This window comes from Homo sapiens, chromosome 2 (genome assembly GCF_000001405.40).
Source record: "Homo sapiens chromosome 2, GRCh38.p14 Primary Assembly".
Classification (NCBI taxonomy): Eukaryota; Metazoa; Chordata; class Mammalia; order Primates; family Hominidae; genus Homo; species Homo sapiens.
This window is the reverse complement of record NC_000002.12, coordinates 229,022,060-229,043,178: the sequence shown is the minus strand read 5'-3', so window position 1 is coordinate 229,043,178 and position 21,119 is coordinate 229,022,060. Positions and strand designations below refer to the sequence as shown.

General features: G+C 39.3%; 1 protein-coding gene across 7 annotated transcripts in view; it reads left to right on the top strand.

Moving 5' to 3' along the window:
• PID1 (phosphotyrosine interaction domain containing 1) overlaps positions 1-19,206 on the top strand; it is a 247,315-nt gene extending 228,109 nt beyond the window's left edge. For all 7 annotated transcript variants that reach the window (NM_001330157.2, NM_001100818.2, NM_001330158.2 and 4 more), the window contains one exon: positions 17,071-19,206. In NM_001330157.2, coding sequence (NP_001317086.1) covers positions 17,071-17,547 — 477 coding nt within the window. In that variant the 3' untranslated portion in view covers positions 17,548-19,206. The remainder of the gene's footprint in view (positions 1-17,070) is intronic.
• Positions 19,207-21,119: the final 1,913 nt, after the last annotated feature.

The following is a 21,119-nucleotide window of genomic DNA, read 5'->3' as shown; positions in this document are numbered from 1 at the left end:
CAAAAATTAGCCGAGCTTGGTGGCGAGCCCCTGTAATCACAGCTACTCTGGAGGCTGAGGCAGGAGAATCGCTTGAACCCAGGAATTGGAGGTGGCAGTGATCCAAGATCGCTCCACTGCACTTCAGCCTGGGAGACAGAACAAGACTCCATCTCAAAAAAAAAAAAAATTTCTCCCTTTCTCCTCTCTCTCTCTTTCTGCGCTACCCCCTTTCTCTCTCTCTCTCAAAAAAAATTAAAAAAAAGAAAAAAATCTAATAGGAAACTCCTGTAGGATTTTTTTCAATGTAATAACTCTAATATGGAGATGAATAGTAACAATATTGTCAAATTGTCACAGTATTTCCTTGGATCAGCTCATTAGGTAATAGCAGAAAATCTGTGGTTCCAAGATTATGTTAAGAATATGAAAATGTAACGGGACTAGTCATTAAAAATTACTTTCACATCATGCATTGGGTTCTATTTTGTAAAGAGAAGGTAGAATATGACATTGAAAGCTTTTGAGTGGTCACAGATTTTATTGCCAAAGGTACTATTTTTAACCTGGTGTATTTTCCAGTTAAATCCCTGGATACACTCTCCTCCTCCTCCCTCAGCCCTCTTCTTGCCACACACATGTGTGCTCCAGGACGGTCAGAGTAGAATTTGTCACATGTCACTAAAATAGATTGATCCAGCCAGCATGAGAGGGTGGATTTTGATCACAAACAGGTCTTTTGAATATATCTTAAATTTACTCTTCAGGATATGAACATTGCTTAGTCAACTGTATATGCTCATGAAAATCTTCATCTTTTTCACTTAAATTAAGATGGAGCCAAGGACACGTCTTCATTGATATTCCTTTTAGCTTTTTATTATGAAATAATTTTAACAAAAGAAGTTGAAAAATTATTATAAAATATTTCAATATACATAGGTTTCTTTTTCCCATTTCCCCCCAATATTTATTTACTTTATCATTTATATTCTATATGTATGTGTATATTTCTATCTTTTTCTCTTACAGACACACAATTATTGTCTTTTGAACTGTTTGATAGCAAAATGTAGACATGATGTCTCCGTACTTCAGAGTATGGTTTCTAGAAAGTAAGAGGTTCTCTTATCCACAGGACAGTTATCAAAATCAGAAAATTGACATTTATACAATACTATTTTATAATCTAGAGACATTACTCATATTTTCACAATTGTAAACTATTGTACTTTATATCAAACTAAAAGTAAATGAGTGCCCGGGAACTGATCCAGGATAATGAGATTGGTCTCATTAATGTCCTTTAATCTGGAGCAGATCTTTATTCTTTCTCAGTCTTTCTGACCTTTATACTTTGGAAGTTTAAGCAATGCCCTTCCATTTGGATTTGTTCAACATTTCCGTAAGATTGGGTTCAGGGGGTTGGCAGGGGGGTAATGGAAGTAATGTTGAATTCTTCACAGTGTATATGACTTTATCACTTAGTTGTGATGGGGTGTGTTAGATTTGTCCATTGAGAATTTATTGCTCTCCATTTGTAAATAATAGGTGTCTTGTGGAGGTACTTTGTTTCTGTGTAAATATCCAATTTCTCATCAGATGTTTAGTCCCAAATTTTAGCATCCACTGATACTTCTTGCCTGCAACATTTATTACTTCACTGGGAGTCAAACGGTGATTTTCTAGTCTCATCGCCTCTTTTACCTTTATTAGTTTGTGTTCTAGTATAGGAACTTTTCTTTTTCTTCCTACAATTTATTCATTTATCTATTTATATCAATATTGATTCATGGATTCCTACCCATTCTGTGGGTTGTAATCATTACTATAATAATTTACTTTGATGGTCTAATTGTCCCCAGTTTGGCCAGCAGGAGCCCCTTCAAGTGCCTCTGTCGTTTGAACATGTTTATATCATTCTTTGGGCACTTTCCTCCTTTCTGGTAAAGCGTGATGTTCCAGGACCATGTCACTGTTTTGTGTGACAGCCCTGAAACAGCTCTGTCTGAGTAGGGATGGCTTCTTTTAGTGGAGAATGATATTTAGAAACCAAGATCTGGGCTTTAGTTACGCTCACAGTGACTGGCACATTACTGCTCGCAGGGTGCTAGGCACAGCTAAGAAGTATATGTATATATGCATGTACACACAAACTCACCTGTATATTGATGTCAGTGTCTACATATCTAGATATATTGAAAGCCATGGATTTGGAATTACTCCAGTTCCACTCTAATGTCCCAGGGTTCTGTGTAGCCTCCCTGCTTTGCATATTTGTAACTCTCTTTAACAATGAGAAACATGGTTCTCAACATTTACTATATAGCTACTTTTTAACTTATTTCTTTAATACACATGAAGTAAGTTCAGCATTGTAAGTCTATGGCACTTTGATAAATAAACCTACTAACTAAAGTACAATGATGGTTTATAGTTTTTCTGTCTTTAGCCAGAGGGAATATTGTCCAAATACTGTGTTAAAATGTTATTTGAGCTTGTTTTTTCCTCTCTTCACTGCAGTTATGTTTTTCATTTGCAATCCAGTTAGGTTTACTCATTTTTACTTTGGTTATATGTTGAATATTTTCTCCCTGTTTCTCTTGATTGTGTTAATTTTTGTATCCATGATTCTGCAAGTCACAACTATACAAAAAGGTATAGTTAAAGAAGTATCACTTCTTCATGCCTTCTACCCATTCCCACATCCCCATTATTTTAACTCCATTCCCAAGCAACCACTGCATGTTGGTAATCAGTTTTTTTCTTCTGGTTTCTTTTTTCACAAACAAATATATAAAAATATACACTTTCACTTCCCCTACTTGCTTACACAAAACAATTTTTTTTACTTTGTTTGTTTGTTTGTTTGTTTGTTTGTTGACGATGTCTTGCTTTGTTGCCCAGGCTGGGGTGCAGTGCCGCGATTTTTTTTGTATTTTTAGTAGAGATGGGCTTTCACCATGTTGGCCAGGCTGGTCTCAAACTCCTGACCTCAGGTGATCCGCCCTCCTCAGCTTCCCAATGTGCTGGGATTGCTGGCGTGAGCCACTGTGCCCAGCCTTTTTTTTTTTTTTTTCCACATAACAATATACCCAATAAGTCACTTCATGTAAGTACATATACTCTTTCTCACTCCTTTTCACACGTGGAATAGTAGATTAGATGGATTTACTGTAATGTATTCAACTGCTTTATTTGGTATGAGCATTTAGATTGTTTTATGTATCTTATGATTACAAATAATGCAACATTGGATAAACTGTGATTATGTATTTTCATATTGAAGAGTACCTTCATTGTAAATTCCTAGGTATGATATTGATGATTCAAAAGACATATAGAGTTTTGTTATAGAATGATAGTTCCCTTCCAAAAGGGTTGTACTAAGTTGCATTCCAACCATCAATATATGAGTGTCTGTTTCTCTGCAGCCTTGCTAACAGAACATGGGCCATACATTTTACTTTTCATTAGTATGTCCGGTGAGAGAGGTATCTCAGTGTTGTTTTAATTTGCATTTCTCTAATTATGTGATACTACGAGTAGATATTTTAAATAAGAATCCGTCAGTTAAGAGATAATCTAGGGATTTCATTCAGTTTTCTACCAAATATATTAATATTCTAGTTAACCGCACATTTTTAAGTATATATCAAATATTTTTGTTCTAAGTTTAAATAGTTGCAAGGGATATAATTTCTAGCATATGTTAAAGACTGTCATTTTAAATAATTTTCTACATGGCTCTTTTAGATGTAGCTAATATAATCTAAACACCAAGCTGGCATCTCTTTAAAATTATCATGAACAAGCTCTTCTTTAATAATCATAAATTTTATCGTTGTTTTTCCTTGAACTTTAATAGCCCTTCTATTTTCCACACAGAATTTCAACCTAATATAAGTTTATGGTTCAGTCTTTTATATGTTACTCTGTGAGATTACACAAAGAATTGGATATTCAAATAAAAAAGCTCATCTAGTACCAAACTTTACTAATAATTACAAATAACCAAATAATTAGAAAGCACAAGCAAAACAGAATGTGAGCTAGGACTGTCAGTACAGCACCCTCAGTCCTTTCTCGCTGCGTTATATATGGTCTGGCTCAAATCGGCACGGAAGATACCTAATACTGTATACAGTGGCGTTACTTAAGTAGAGGGCACCCTTTTAATCTTGAAACATCTCCATTTTATACTTAGTTACATTGTGAGATTCTTTCTTGGAAGCTATATGCCATAAATCCACAGATTTCAGGTTTGTTTACCGATTCTAGGCAAACAGGTATATCCTACAAAAAGAATTCCACAGGTAAGGATTTGCTTACTTGCAAACAGCAGAAGATGTGGTCATTAACAAGTTGACAATAAGATTAGACTAGGTTCTTTCTTTCTCTAGGGTTACCTCCCTTTCTGCCTCATAAAGGGAGAGAGTGGATTTCATAACTGTTGCTTAATCATTTATTGTCTACCCTGTCATATTTTCTCTGCAAGAAAAATATATAAGCAATTGAAATTTTCAAAAATTATTTTCTGTAACAATACATCTTTAAGTTTAAATATTTCTTTGGTTTGAGTTATCCTTACAATTAGTATTAATATCCATTGATCAGAACAACATAAATATATGATACATTTTGATAATTATAAATAAAAGTAGTCCCTGCCCCTAATCCCTGACAACCAGTAATCTGTTCTCCAGTTCTAAAGTTTTGTTATATCAAAATTTATATATAAATAGAATCATATAGTATGTAACCTTTGGAGGATGACTTTGACTCAGTATAATTACCCCCAGAGATTCATCCAAGTTGTTCCACATATCAGAGTTTATTCCTTCTTATTGCTGAGTGGTATCCCATGATATGGATGTACCGCAGTTTACTTAACCATTTATCTGATGAAAGACATCTGGACTGCTAGTTTTTGGCTATTGCAAATAAAGTTATGAACATTCATGTAAAGGTTTTTATTTAAATATGTATTCATTTCTCTAGAATATATAACAATTCCAGGTCTAATTAGCCTCAGTGTACCTCTCCTTCTTTTGTTCCAAATCTCCACTGGTTGCTTACTAGAATCTCTAGACTTGTAGCCAGTAGATTTGTGTGTTTGTGACCTCTAACCACATGCTGTCTCAACATTATTCTTTCTAAATGTTTAGTGCCTTCTGTGATCCATTCCTAATGAGTTGTGCACGAAGGAAAATGAATTGATAAAGTGCTACAAGGACTAAAATTGGTGACATTTTTCACCTGCCACACTGTTTGTCCCTTGAATCCATTTGTCAGGATGACTCAAGCAGTGTGCTTGATACTGATTTATCATTTAGAGAATTTTCTCGTTGTGAACATGTTAGGGCCTAGAGAGCTCTGCTGAATTTCTGTCGCTTTTCAGCATACTCTTCTGACTAGAAAGCAGAGGGAGAGGTATCAGACCTGTCAGGAAATAAATTGTTCTTGGGCCTCTGGGTGGAACAGCTCCAGGTTTTATCATCCTAAGTCCAGCTCACCAGAAGGGGCCACATGAGGGGATGTGTATTTCAATGTGGTCTCGTTTTTATTAAGTGACTTTGTCTTCAGGGGCACACTTCAGTACCTTCAAGATAAATCGCTTCTGTCTTTGACAGTGACAATGACAATATTTCCAAGCTTCACACATCCAAGAGCCAATTGACAGGACAAATTGCACATGGGGACTGCTTGGTAAGTGCAAAATGGGGCACAAAATCTCAAGTCACCCTGCATCATTGGAACTAAGTTCTAATACAAGTGGCAGAAATAAATCTGTCACTTTACTACCTAATTGTGGGACACATGCCGTATTTAACAGCTGAAGGAATGTTCACCTCTTTGCTAGAGTTCAAAAATAGTACTTAGTTATTCCTTGATATTGGGTCTTGGTAAATTTGCTTTTTCCTCCGTGGTATATATTTCTATAATAAAAATAGATTTCCTAATAAAATTTCTATTAATATTTTTATAGATTATATCGACATAATCTGTGCAAATACTTAGGGAAAAGTGCTAAGCATTTTTTAAATTTTCTCAATATTTTTAGCCTTAGGAAAGTTACTGAAATAAATATCTCCCAACCAAGGCATGTGCATATATGTGCCCTAGAGATTGTGTACTTTATAAAATCGGCATGTTTGATACTATTAAAAAAATTAAGAGTAAGTCTGTATGCCTTTCTGGGTCATAATCATTCCATTTAGAAAAACAAACCAAAACAGACTGTTAAAGTCAGAGGAAGGCCTTGTTTAGGCAGCTAAGCTTACCCTCTACTTCGTGGTCAGGCAGGTTAACCTGGCTAAGCAGACATTAGGCAGAAGACTTGGAGGGGTAGCCCCATGGTGAATGACAATTAGTAGGCTTCATCCCAGTCTAGCCATGGGACAGCTAGATCCATTTTCGGGTTTTTTTGTTTTGTTGTGTTTTGTTTTTTTGAGCTGGAGTCTAGCTCTGTTGCCCAGACCGGAGTGCAGTGGCATGATTTCAGCTCATGGCCACCTCCGCCTCCCAGGTTCAAGCAGTTCTCCTGCCTCAGCCTTCCAAGTAGATGGGTTTACAGGGGCCTGCCACCACACCCAGCTAATTTTTGTATTTTTAGTAGAGGAGGAGTTCACTGTGTTGGCCAGGCTGGTCTCGAACTCCTGACATCATGATCTGCCTGCCTCAGCCTCCCAAAGTGCTAGGATTACAGCCGTGAGCCACCACACCTGGCCTAGATCTACTTTTATCCTGATGAAGTGAAGTAGATCTGCCAAAAGACAGACCCCAAAATGGTATCAGAGACTCACTCTGGGAACAAATCAAACAAAAGAAAAAACCTAGCTTTGATTCAGAGTCATATGAGCTTCCTGAGGATGACACACAGAAGCCTGTAGGGCTGAGGAGTAGGACTCTGGAGCCATTGCAACCATAAAGGATGCCCAGGCCTGCTCTGAGCTGAGACCAAGCCTCTTGGGTTGGCCTTCTGAGGGTTTCAACTGCCTTTATTGAGGGATGTGCACAGTCCTACCCACCATAGTGTTGGGCTCCAAGAGCAATTTTTTAGCATGTGTTGTCTAGTATGTTGATATACAATGCACGAGAGGCAGGGTAATAACCAGCATAGCACAGATGTAATGTTTGCTTTTTGGAATTATTCTTTGAAGTGGGAATGGTTTGCTTTGTTAAACACCATTTCAGAGTTCTTTAGGAATATGATGTCTGAATATTAACTATGCACACTGTCTTTTTCTTTCAATGATTGATGCATTATAATCTAAAATCCTTGGGCTATGCAAACACATCTCTGGTTAAGGACAGTTTACCTGCCTTTGACCCAAACCACCTTGCAGGATGTTTAAAAAGCCTTGGTAGGGTGCCTATTGCTTTTTGCTGTCCCTGACTAGGCCTTGGTCTCAGTATGGACATTTGAAGAAATGGCCAGAGAAAAGGTAAATGATATAAGAATGGAAACTAAGGTGTCTGAATCCTCTTCAAGTGAAGAAATTAAAGCAGTGGAAAGAGCTTTTGTTTTGTGGTGGAGGACTTGGGTTCTACATCTCACTTTTCCGAGACCAGCTGTGGGATTTGGGGCAAGTGTTCTCAGATCTTTTGGTATCAGAATCATTGCATTTGCAACAAAGGAGTGGTGTTAGGTTGGTGCACACACACACACACACACACACACACACACACATATAAATGATTGGCCCCATTTATATGTATGTGTGTGAGTAGAGGGAAGGAGGGGGGTGGAGAGGGAGAGAGAGAGAGAGACAGACATATCTTTAAAATAATTGACTCACATCATTGTAGGGGCTGGCGAGTCCCAACATTTTAAGGGAAGGTGGGCAGACAGGAGATCCAGGGAAGAGACGTTGCAGTCTTGAGTCAGAAATCAGTCTAGAAGCAGATTTTCTTCCTGCTTGGGCATCTGTTCTCTCTACTAAGGTCTTAACCTTATTGGATGAGACCTACCTACATTATGAAGGGTAATCTGCTTTATTCGTAGTCTATTGATTTAAATGTTAATCACATCTAAAAAAGAATACCTTCACAGCAACATCTAGGCTGGTGTTTGACCTAAGAGTGGGCACCATGCCCTACCCAAATCCATGCATAAAATCAGCCATCACTGTATCTAATGATATGCCTTATTATAGAAGTTAGCTTAAGGAGTCACATGCTGAGATGGAAGGAACATTTTTCTTAGAGTTGGGAGACATGGGCCCAAGAGCTGATTCTCTCACTGGTGGGCTCTGGGACTGCCACTGACTTCTCAGTGGAAAATGAGTGGCCTAGTTTTGATCACTGGGTTCCAATGTGATCACTGACAGGTACACATTTTCCATCATAGGCTCCATATTTTGAGCAATTTTATTTGCCCAATAAATCACATTATGTAAATGTGAGTTCATTTTTTGCTTATACATATATATATATATATACACAATAAAGGAGACACTGTCAGAAAACAACTTTCCTTGGCCCTTTTGAAGTATTGAAAATAGTTCCCAGATTACCACTCCCCTTTGCTATTGTTATGGGTGTCTCCAGGGTACAGGAAGACTGATGGAGGACCCTGCAACTCCTTGATGGCTGATGCTGAAACTGGGCAGGGAGCTCCAGGAGGAACCAGACAGGATCCTGTTAGCAGGCTCACCACAAGTCTAAAGGGACCAGCCTTGAGAAGGGCAGTTGGGATGTGGCAAATGTGAGCCAGGTTTCTGGGTCCTACTGTCCAGGTTCAAGTTCTGGCCACTCTGTGACCTTGGGCAAGTTACTTCAACCTCTTACAAGTTCCCTAATCTATAGAAACAGCTAGTACATACCTTATGGAATTATTATGAGGATTAATGATCCATATAAAGCATTTAGCCAAGTACCTGGCATAGAGTAAGTCCTGGATAAATGTTGGCTGTTGGTTCTGTTCCTGTTAGTGATTCCCAGGAACCAGGAATTGGTTCTAGTAGCCCCCTTTGTGTCTTCCCTCTGCATTCTTCTAGACCTCCAAAATTTATTATTGTGCCGACAATAATTTCATAGATTTCACTATGAACAGCATCTATCCTTTAATACCTTCTTCGTGGCTTAAAGCTTGTAATACAGGTTCATGGTCATAATTATCGAGTCAGTGTTTGTGGTTTAGATTGTTGGGAAATTGGCATGCAGATCCATCTCCACTCTTCAAAGTGCCCAGTGGATTCTGTGCCTCTGTGGCCAGCAAGAAAGGAGCAGATTCAAGCTGAGGTCATAAATCTCTATGTTGCACCCTTTGCCTTTTCTCTGGAATGTGCAGGTGGGAATCCATGTGATGGAAGAAGAGCTTGACTCTGGTATTTTGCCCAGGGTTAAGAGCAGCTTTTCTTTTTCTCATCTTCTGCCTTGGAGCCCAAAGGCTATTAGGATTCCCAGCAAAGTTTCCTCCATTCTCTTTTCCTATCATGTTATTTTATGTCAGCTGGGTACATATTGTATGTCCTACAGACAATGGAAAAACAGTAAAATATTTTTTTAATTTTTTTATTATATTTCAGTTCTGGGATACATGTGCAGAACGTGCAGGTTTATTACATAGGCATACACGTGCCATGGTGGTTTGCTGCACCCATCAACCCATCATCTACATTAGATATTTCTCCTAATGCTCTCCCTCCCCTAGCCCCCCACCCTCCAACAGGCCTTGGTGTGTGATGTTCCCCTCCTGGTGTCCATGTGTTCTCATTGTTCAACTCCCACTTATGAATGAGAGCATGCAGTGTTTGGTTTTCTGTTCTTGTGTTAGTCACAGCAAAGTCTTTTATATCTCAAGAGAGACCTCTAGAAGGTCTTTATTCTTGGCTTGTCATTCTTGAGAAGCCCAGCAGTAAGTGGAACCCAAGCTAAGCTTGTGAAGCTGGGCTCATCCAGCTTGGAAAGTCGAAGAACTCCAGGAAAGCAGGTGCTTGGGTTCTTGCACAATCATCCATCCCATCTTCCATCTTTGTTTGGGAACCCTTGACGTTACCCTTTTGATCCCACTCTCCAGTCTAGCGTGAGGTGAGTCAGGTTCAAAACAGCAGCTTCTCAGGCCAGAATGAAATAGCGACCGGCCACCAGGGGAAACAAATGGTACTGCTCAACCAGAAGGATAAATGTCGGGCAACCAAGTTTGTTTTGCCACAGATGAGCAGGGAATGGTGATTCATGAATGCAGAGCTGGCTGGGGTGTTGGAAAACTCATGAGTTGGAAGGAGAGATTCTGAGGACACTGCTCTCTCCTGATCCGACGCTGTTAACACTGCAGACACTCTGGCGGGTCCCTTGGCTTCACAGCCTCTCTATATTTTCACAGTCTGTGAATATTCTCAAATAACTTCTTCAGTTGGGGTTGGGCAGGTCCATTTACACACACTGCAAATGTCTGTGTTTGGGAGATCAGTTTATGCCATGGAATGACACATGGGGAAAGTGTTCATTTTATTTCTCTCAGAATGATTCATTGGTAATAAGTTTCATGCCCAATGCCTGTTTCTGCAACCATAGAAAAGATGCTGGTATTTACCGCAATTTCCAGCTAGTTGTTACTTTTCCTGAAGACCCCTCTTGTCATCTTCCAAGTCCCTTTGTTCCAGCACCCTGGGTGGTGAAGGCTCAAAGAAAAATCTGTGTATCATTTTGGACACATTTTGTGACCAATTTTATAAGTTGGTGTTTTCTGTCTACTTTGTGGCTCTGGAAGGTTGCGACTCTTAAAGACAGGGCCTATTATTCCTCTAGAAAGTATTCACCTCTTTCATAGACAGGATAACAGGATTCTCCTTAACCAAACCTGACATTGGTGCACAGCTATGTTAGTTGCGGAACCTCCAGAAGCAGCCTTGCACATTGAGTTCTGTGTTCTTACTCATAAGGAGGATGTGCTCACAGAAGAATATTAAAGGGAATTTTCCCACATGAGAGAAACCATGGCAGGAGGGGACCTCTCTATTTATATTTAGAGTGAGTCCCTGTAACAGTGTTGATATAGAAATATACAGGTATAATGGCCCATATACAGGGCCATAAACAGGGTTTCTGTTTATTGAGATGGGGGAACTCCATGGCCCAAATACACAGGGGGCATGGTTGCATGCAGAGCATAACTGAATCATTGGTATTTTGAGACAATTAATTTTTTTAAGTTTTTACTCAATTTCCCTTGAAAATCAGAGCCATAAGATGCATTTCTATTAAACCGTATACAAAAAAATAAAGAGGGAAGTTCACTTTTTGAAAAAAGGTCTGAATAGTGTTTTTCAGTGACTTACAGTCAACATTATGGGTTAATGCCAAACTCTGGAGAATTTAATGGGAGAATTAAGAAGTATGTGGACAGGCAGTAAGTAATTGACTTCCTAGAGCAAAGTGCACAGACATAGGTCAGGATTCCGGAACTTGGGCCATTATGGATAACAGCAGGGCTGATTGAAAAGAGTTTCTGAGGGGAGACGGTCTTGCTACGTCATTTTATCCCTTTGCATTCCATTTTTAGGGACACGCTATTTAAAGAATTCTTTCCATTCCATTTCTAGGAAACCCCATTCAGATAATTGTTTTCCTATGTTTCTCTTTTCCTTTCTTTTCTTTTCCTTTCTTTCCTTTTCTTTCCTTTTCTTTTCTTTTTTGAGACAAGGTCACACTCTGTTTCCCAGGCTGGAGTGCAGTGGTGCAATCATAGCCCTCTGCAACCTCCGCCTCCTTCAGGTTCAAGCAGTTCTCCTGCTCAGCCTCCTGAGTAGCTGGGACTACAGGCGTGCACCACCACACCCAGCTAATTTTTGTATTTTTCGTAGAGATGGGTTTCACCATGTTGGCCAGGCTGGTCTTGAACTCCTGACCTCAAGTGATCCACCCACTTTGGCTTCCCAAAGTGCTGGGATTACAGGCCTGAGCCACCACGCCCAGCCCCTATATTTCTTTAAGAAGTGCCAACTTGTTAACAATATTTCTTTTTTTTTTTTTTTTTTGAGACAGAGTCTCGTTATGCTGCCCAGGTTGGAGTGCAGTAGCACGATCTCAGCTCACTGCAACCTCTGCCTCCCAGGTTCAAGCGATTCTTCTGCCTCAGCCTCCCCAGTAGCTGGGACTACAGGTGTCTGCCACCACACCCGGCTAATTTTTGTATTTTTAGAAGAGATGGGGTTTCACCATATTGGCCAGGCTGGTCTCAAACTCCTGACCTTGTGATCTGCCCACCTTGGCCTCCCAAAGTGCTGGGATTATAGGTGTGAGCCACTGCACCCGGCCATTAACAGTATTTCTTTGAATTTATATAATCTCATATAGATAATATATTTCGAATTTATATAATCTCATATAAGCTACACATCTGTGCTCCACTCATCTCTCCAGTACACCTCCAAAATACAACCTTATTTCTTTCAAAATCTTTATTTTATAGGTAATACATATTTATAAAGATTTATAAAGAGGAAGATATTTTCTCTTAGTTACCAAAATTTTGCTACTATGAAATCGGTTTTCATTGGAGTGAATCGTCTACAACTTTCAATAAAGTTTTTTAGAAGTATTTTTAAATTATGTCATGATATATATTTCTGTATGCAATTTTTAGAAAAATATCAGAGAGAGAGAAAGTGTGCCTTTAGAGCAAATCAGGATTTTTTCTACCAAACATAAAAACAGTTATTTCTAGTTTCAGTGAATAGTAAAAATAAATATACCTCATTTCAGGCACTAAAGTTAATTTCCTCCGTATGCTTTTTTCCCTAATTTATTTTTATTTTGGTAAAATACATACAACATAAAACTTACCATCTTAACCATTTTTAAGTGCACAGTTCAGTGATATTAAATACATTCATAATGTACACAACTATCACCACCAACCATCTCCAGAACTGTCTTCATCTTGCAAAGCTGAAACTCTGCACCCATTGAACAGTAACTCCTCATTCGTCCCTCCCCCAATCCCCCGGCAACCACAATTCTAATTGGTCTGTTTCTATGATGTTAACTACTCTAAATACTTCATACAAATAGAATCATACAGTACTTGTCTTTTTGTGGCTGGTGTATTTTACTTAGCATAATGTCATCAGAATTCATCCATGTTGTAGTATCTGTCAGAATTTGCTTCCTTTTTAAGGCTGAATAATATTCCAGTATACATTATACATATATACTGTATTTTGTTTATTCATTCATCTATCAACGGACACTTGGATTTCTTCTACTTTTTAGCTATTGTAAATAGTGCTGCTATAAACATGTGTACAATATCTCTTTGATATACATCTTTCAATTATTTGGGGTATATACCCAGAAGTGGAACTACAGAGTCATATAGTAATTCTACTTTTAATTGTTTTTTTTTTTTTTTGAGACGGAGTGTCACTCTGTCACCCAGGCTGGAGTGCAGTGATGTGATCTCAGCTCACTGCAACCTCTGCCTCCCGGTTTCAAGCGATTCTCCTGCCTCAGCCTTCTGAGTAGGTGGGATTACAGGTGCACACCATCATGCCTGGCTAATTTCTGTATTTTTAGTAGAGACGGAGTTTCATCATGTTAATCAGGCTGGTCTCGAACTCCTGACCTCGTGTTCCGCCCGCCTCTCCTTCCAAAGTGCTGGGATTACAAGCGTGAGCCACTGCGCCCGGCCTCTACTTTGAATTTTTTGGAGAACCGCCACGCTGTTTTCTACATGGTATAGAAATTGTACTGTTTTAAATTCCCACCGACAGGATACATGAATTCCAATTTTTCTTCATCCTTGCCAACACTTGTTATTTTCTGCTTTTTTGATAGCCGCCATCCTAACAGGTGCGAAGTGGTATTTAACTGTAGTTTTGGTTTGCATTTTTCTAAGGATGGTAGCATGTTTTCATGTTTTTTTTTTTTTTTGGCTTCAAAAAATATCTATTAATTTCCATTGCCCATTTTTTTTTTCCCCAGGGATTGACATACAGGAACTTTATTTTTTTAAAGCTTTTTTTCAACTTTTAGGTCCAGGGGTACAAGTGCAGGTTTGTTACATGGGTAAATTGCGTGTTGCCGAGGTTTGGTGTGTTAATGGTCCCGTTGCCCAGGTAGTGAGCATGATGCTTGGTAGGTAGTTTTCAACCCTCACCCCCGCAACCCTCCCCCTCCTGGTGGTCCCCAGTGTCTGTTGTTCCCATCTTTATGTCCATGTGTTCTCAATGTTTACTCCTACTTATAAGTGAGTAAGCAAGTGGTAGGAGTAGTCAGAGGGGTTCTTGTGTTGTGATAAGTGTATATAAATTGAGTGAGCCGCTTATTAGTAGAACTGATAATAGCCACTTATTAGTAGAACTGATAATAGGATAATAGGATGATGGCTAGGGTAACTTCGTATGAAATTGTTTGGGCAACAGCTCATAATACGCTCATTAGCGCATAGTTTGGATTGGATGCTGAGAACATGTGGCATTTGGTTTTCTGTTCCTGAATTCACTTCAGACAGTGGCCTCCAGCTATGTCCATGTTGTCGCAAAGGACGTGATTTTGTTCTTTTCATGGCTGCGTAGTATTTATACATGGTGTATATGTACCACATTTTCTTTATTCAGTCCACTGTGGATGCCTTTGCCCATTTTTAAGTTGGGTTTTTTGACTTTTTGTTGTTGACTTTTAGGTGTTCTGTATGTATTCCAGATATTAATTACTTATTACATATATGACTTGCAAATATTTTCTCCCATTGGATGGGCTGCCTTTTTAAATATGTTGACATTTTCTATTTATGCACAATTTATTTGGTGCGTAAACACCACAATTTATTTGCTGCCAAACGATCACAGATTGTCCACATGAGTGGCTGAGATAGTGACACGTTTGCTTTCTGATGGCTCAATTTACACGAACTTTGATGCATAAAGTGATTAAAAATATTGGGTAAAACTAATGGCTATGTGTATAAGGTATATATGAATCATAATCATAAATAAATTTCAGTTCAAACTTAGGTTATCTCCCCAAGATATCTCATTATGTATATGCAAGTATTCCAACATCTGAAAATAGCTGACATTTGAAATACTTCTGGTCCCAAGCATTTTATCTAAGGGATACTCACCCTGTATTGTTAGTTTTTGTCCTGCAATATTATTCCCTCTGCCTCCTCCTGTCCTTTCCCACTGCCTCTGTTCCTAATCCAGGCCACCCTTGCCCGCTGGCTGTGTCTCTGCTATCAGTCAGGCCTCCCCATCCACCTTTCTTCCTGGCATCAGGAAAGTCTGAGTTCACAGGCTCTATCACATCCAGGCACTCCTTGGACCTTGGCCCTTCAGTGGCATTCCAGAGGAGCAACGACGCCCCGATTCCTCAGACCACATGTGGGGCGATCCTGCAAAGGTCAGCCTATTTTTATCCAGAGGTCGTGGACCTCTTACACGGCTTCTGCTCCAGGGCTGTCTTAGGCTACCGCTTTACGTGTGCTCAGGTTAGCACAGCCTCTTTGTCCAAGCTGATTGAGACTTTCTCTACTACTTGCCTTTACTGTTTCCCTCCTCCTTTTTAGCACCTTGACTTGCTGGGCTCCTATGTAGTCTGAGGCCAATGTTTTGAAATCCAATGCCTCTTCCTGAGGCCTTCTGTCATCAGTATGCCACTGCCTCCTCCACTGAACACTCACAGTACTTTGCTGTTCCCCTTCCTGCCCTTTCCACGGCCTGCCTTACATCAGAGTCATAGCTGTGCAGGTGCCAAGGGTGAGAGTTTTGTCCTGGTGAACTGTGGAGCTAGGATTTAAACCTCAACTTCACCTGCCTCAAAGACTGTGCTCTGAATGAGTATTCAATTATTTCTTTCCCGTGGATATTCGGCCCTCCCCAGTTTCATAGCAATCCCCATGCCTATGTGTTATATTGCCATTGTGTATAAGAGGTTCCCAATAAATACTTCTGGAATGTATCACACTTACACATCTTTATTAAAAAGTTATTTTCTTAAAGGGACTACTCTTGTCACAAAGATACAATAGTCCTTAACTTCTGTGTTTTAATTTTTTATATGTGGCCTGTATTGTCCCACTAAATATAACCATTGTTTGGAATCATTCTGACCAAATGTCCCCTCTCAGTTCTCACGGTTTCCACGGACCCTCTTCTGGTCTTTCTCTCCTCGCATTCGTAGTATTTCTATTTGTGTCACTAATTTTAAATGTAAGTATATACTATTTCATATTATTTCTTAGATGATCTCTTAAGTTTTATGCCTTTCCATAATGCCTATGCCCCAATAATAGTAATTCTGTGCATTTTGTGGAATGAATAAAACAATGAAAGGATGAAAATCCCTTCTTGGCATATTATAAACACGCTTTTAAAAAGACAGTATTTGAATCGTTTGGAATTATTTTTCTTAGTTTTCATACTGCCTACCTAGCTAGGTGATAAGCCAGCATTCTACTCTTGATTCTTCTGTAGATCTTTCATTTATTATCAGATCAACAGATGCTCATCAGTTCAAAAACAGTTTAGGTTAAAAAAGAACTGGGCACTGCTGTTATTTTTAAAAATTATCTTGGGAAGGAAAACTATCATGCTTTAGGCCATAATTTCAAGAGAACAGTTTTTGCGTCCTTGGCATTAGAAGCAGGCAGCCTAAGTGAAATCAAACATTGAGAGATTTGGAAAGAGACCCAGGCTAGGAGATAAGTTTAATAAAGATTTTGTTTTTCCAACTCAGTGTCCTTTTGATTCCTTCCTATTATTCAATTCTGTGTGTGTTTGGCCGAAAATAAACTTTGAGTGACTTTATGATGTTAAAGGAATGCCAAATTATGTAAAAGATCATACTCTTCGTTTTAATTGGGGTTTAAAAAAGGAGTAAGGAGAGGGAGAGTAGTTCTCTAGAAATTAGATTTTAAAATCCAACTCTATTCAAATAATTTCAATACATTTGCCAAGTAGGCAACTCATTAGAGAGAAAAGGTAGAAATTTTGATGAGTTATTCTTTCAGGGAGCAAGAAAGAAGTGTCTTCACCTTCCCAATGTGACACCATGACTGTGTGGAACAGCTACTCATTCAGTCTATCAGAACAAAGAGCCTTCTGCTGATGCCTCCCTTTTCTTCCTCTCTTGCATCTGCAGGTTACCTACCTGGGCAAAGTCTCCACCACTGGCATGCAGTTTTTGTCAGGCTGCACAGAAAAGCCAGTCATTGAGCTCTGGAAGAAGCACACGCTAGCCCGAGAGGATGTCTTTCCGGCCAATGCCCTCCTGGAAATCCGGCCATTCCAAGTTTGGCTCCATCATCTCGACCACAAAGGGGAGGCCACAGTGCACATGGATACCTTCCAGGTGGCCCGCATCGCCTACTGCACCGCCGACCACAACGTGAGCCCCAACATCTTCGCCTGGGTCTACAGGGAGATCAATGATGACCTGTCCTACCAGATGGACTGCCACGCCGTGGAGTGCGAGAGCAAGCTCGAGGCCAAGAAACTGGCCCACGCCATGATGGAGGCCTTCAGGAAGACTTTCCACAGTATGAAGAGCGACGGGCGGATCCACAGCAACAGCTCCTCCGAAGAGGTTTCCCAGGAATTGGAATCCGATGATGGCTGAATGAACTTGAGACGCTTCAGCAAAGGCAGCATTGGTCACGGAGTTCAAGGGAATAGATGAGTAAGCAACGTTTCAAATTTGGGATGAAAAGACTGCCAAACTATTGGCTGACCAAGGTTTTTAAATTCAGAAGAGCAATTCTAAATCTAAAGAAATGTATCATTAAAGTAATTACGTTACATTGAAACCTGCTGCTGCTGTGACTGTGAGGAGGGTGGGAGTGTGGATGGGGAGGAAGGTTCTAGGCTCTCTTATTTTTCTCATTTCCCAATGCCTCTCTGTGGGAGAGCTCCATGCCAGTTTTCACCACGCTCAGGCAAATACTCTGCAGCTGTTATTGGATGGGCCATTCCGATCTGCCTTATGAAATTCCACAAGAATGTTAGGGGCACCTATGGGATCTCTAGTGGGGTGGGCAGGGTGCTGATGGGGACGCTGGCCGCAGGGAGGAAGGAACATCTCGGGAGGGCCCTCTGTTCCTCTCCCACGGCAGATGCCCTCCTCTGTATGCAAATCAGCACAGCCTTTATTGAGCTTTACAACTAACAACCTGATAGTTGGCAGTTAATTCACAGTTACAGATAATGCTTTTATTTACATAAATATACCAAGTAGTACCCTCTTATTGTATTCACTTCATCTATTTTCTTAGAATACTTGCAATTACTAATGACCCCTTCCCTTTCCCTCCTGCTGCCCTGTCCACCCTCTTTCCCCTTCTAACATCCTTAGAGGGATGAAATCTCAGCATATGTTGCAGGACACCAAAAGGAAGAAAACAATCAAGCAAATAAAATAAACAGTCAAACAAACCAGGAGTTTAAAACAACAACCCCAACAACAGAAGCCTTGGCAAAGAGGAATAAGTGATCAGCAAGTGAACACACTCTATGTCAACTCTCCTTTTATCCAGCTGAGATTTATGGTAACTTATTTAATTAATGGTCCTGTCTGATGCATCCTTGATGGCAAGCTTCAAATCTGATTTGGTATCACCGAGGAAACCTTGCCCCCATCACTCAGCATTGCACTTAGATACAGAATGAGTTAGATAAACTTGGCTTGTCTAGAGACCCATGTCATCTTAACCTAAAGGGAAATCTTATTGCGTTATCATAAAATTGATGATATCTTAGGGTCAGAATTGCCCTTTTTTTTTATTTTGAATGGGAAGTTCTCACTAAAACAATCCTGAGATTTCTTAATTTCATGGTTCTTTAAATATTATAAACACAGAGTCAACATAGAATGAAATTGTATTTGTTAAAATACACACATTGGAGGACAAGAGCAGATGACTACTTTTCGAAGTAATGCTGCTCCTTCCTAAAAGTCTGTTTTCAATCCTGGTAATATTAGGGGCACTGCGGCACCTAAGAAGCCTTAAATGAGAGCTAATCCAATCTAGAGAGCGATGGTGTCAGCATTTCGGTCTGCATATCTGTGTGTCCGTATCTGCGTTTGTGTGCGTGTACGTGTGCCCCTGTGTGTGGGCCCAGTTTTCAGGCATGTAGAATAAGCATGGAGTCATATTGAGGAGGACTCACTTCTTGAAGATATGCTTGTTGCTTTACAACATATGTAAGCTATTCTTTAGCATAAATGCATTCATTCTTTAATAAAAATATGTTTGCATTAATAAAGCTGAGGAGTTTCATACTTTGTGTCTGTCCTTTTTCAAGTAATAAAAACATGAAGAACAAATTAGATCAAATAGTTCTATCAAAAAATATATTTAAACTGGGTCATAAATAACCTATTCCTGGATTGCGTTTAAAAATCTTGTTTTATTTTCTAAATGCTCAATTTGTTTTTAATTTTTGCATGCCCCTGAGATGGTGAAGTGGCAATAGTTGAAATAGTTCTATAGTATGGTGGGTTTGTTTCAGTGCGGGGTCTTCCAGAACATGTTGCAAATGATTGCTATTTACAAAAATCTCGTGTATGTCTTTGAAGAACCTAGACTGAAATCCTGGAAGGTAAACACTGAGTGATTTTTTTTCTGATGGGACTGGTTAAAGAATGTCTCCTCCAGGCTATGATATCTCAGAATGGCCCCATTAAACAAGCAAGACAGGTGGCCATGGAGCCTATGTTTTTTGAGCAATGCCCTTCATGGAATCAATAACAAATATAAAGGCTTCCAAAGTAAAAATATAGGTGCCTGTTATAAAGAGATGAATTCAAGTGAGAATTGTAACCTAACTCCTCTGACTGAAATGGCAGTTCTCTCAGGTCAAACTTTTCCCAATTTCAGTTTATCTGTTGTCCTTGAATATACATTTAAAAAGAAGAAACAAAGAAAAAGAAAAAAAAAACAGCCAGCATGTATTTCAACAGTGCCCTTTTCCTCACTGAGTAAAATTAAGTTGAATCCTAAGTGCACATGTGGTTATTTATTGCAGGAAGCATTTGCTAGTTTTTTTTTTCAGACTACCAAGTGTGACATGCTAAGTAATTGTCTCTGATAATATTGGCATAAGTTTTTGCTTGGGATGATTGGTAGCAATTTAAAGATAGACACACAATGATGTTTTCCAATTAGCTGATGAAGTCTTTTGGGATGGCCAATCCTAATTCCTCTCTGAAGGGTGACTCAGCTTTGCATTATTATTTTTTGATGCTTTGTATACCCACTTTCTGTACTGTATTTTCTATGCTAGTGATCACAAAGTACTTTCATGTACATTACTCAGATGCTCCTGAAAAGAACCTCATAGGTGAGCATAGCAGTTATTTCAGAGACGAGGAAACTCATCCTGAGAGAGGTTACATCACTTGGCCATGGTAGCACAGCTAGGGCATGATTGATGAGACTAGAAGCCTCTGACTTCTGGTCCAGGGCTGTGGCTCTGTCAAGACAAGATCTACCTCCTTTGGATTTTTCATTTCTATTCCTCTTAAAACCTTCTAGCTTATTTTAAAGTAGCACACTAAACCATTAAAAATAAGCATTATTTGCTGTTCATTTTTGAAGTATTTTTGACACCAACAGTATTAAAAGCAAAGTCCCAAGAATTTTTTTTGAGCCCAGATAACATAATATGAAGTTTTGCTTAAGTATTTTAATGGCTATAGGCAAAATCGACACATTTTTCTACTTCTACAAAATCAAGATGTCTGTTTTGTTTGTTTTGTTTCTCTGAGGACATGTTAAAATTCTCAATCAAGTCCTTCTGTTACAGGATTCTATGCCCTCTTGTCATTTTCCTTCATGTCGTTCATTGCAGTTTTTAATTACATATTTATTTGTATAATTATGTAAATGTCTGTTTAAACCTCTTCGGTGTCAACGTTTTTGAGATGAGGATTTTATCTCTTTTGTTCATGTTTATTGCCAGCTCCTATGGCAGGACCAGGCACGTGGGAGGAACTCATTTAGTTTCTGTTAGCTGGCTGGCAGGATGGATGGAGGGATAGACAGATGGAAGGAAAATCACCATGTGTTTCATCGATTTGCAAGTTCTAGGACAGAGTCTTGAAACCCTGAAAGGTATCCTAGTGACTTCCTTGCTCAGTTCTCCAAAGGTGAGCAAATGGCTTTTTATTGAAGAAAAACATTGGCCCTTACC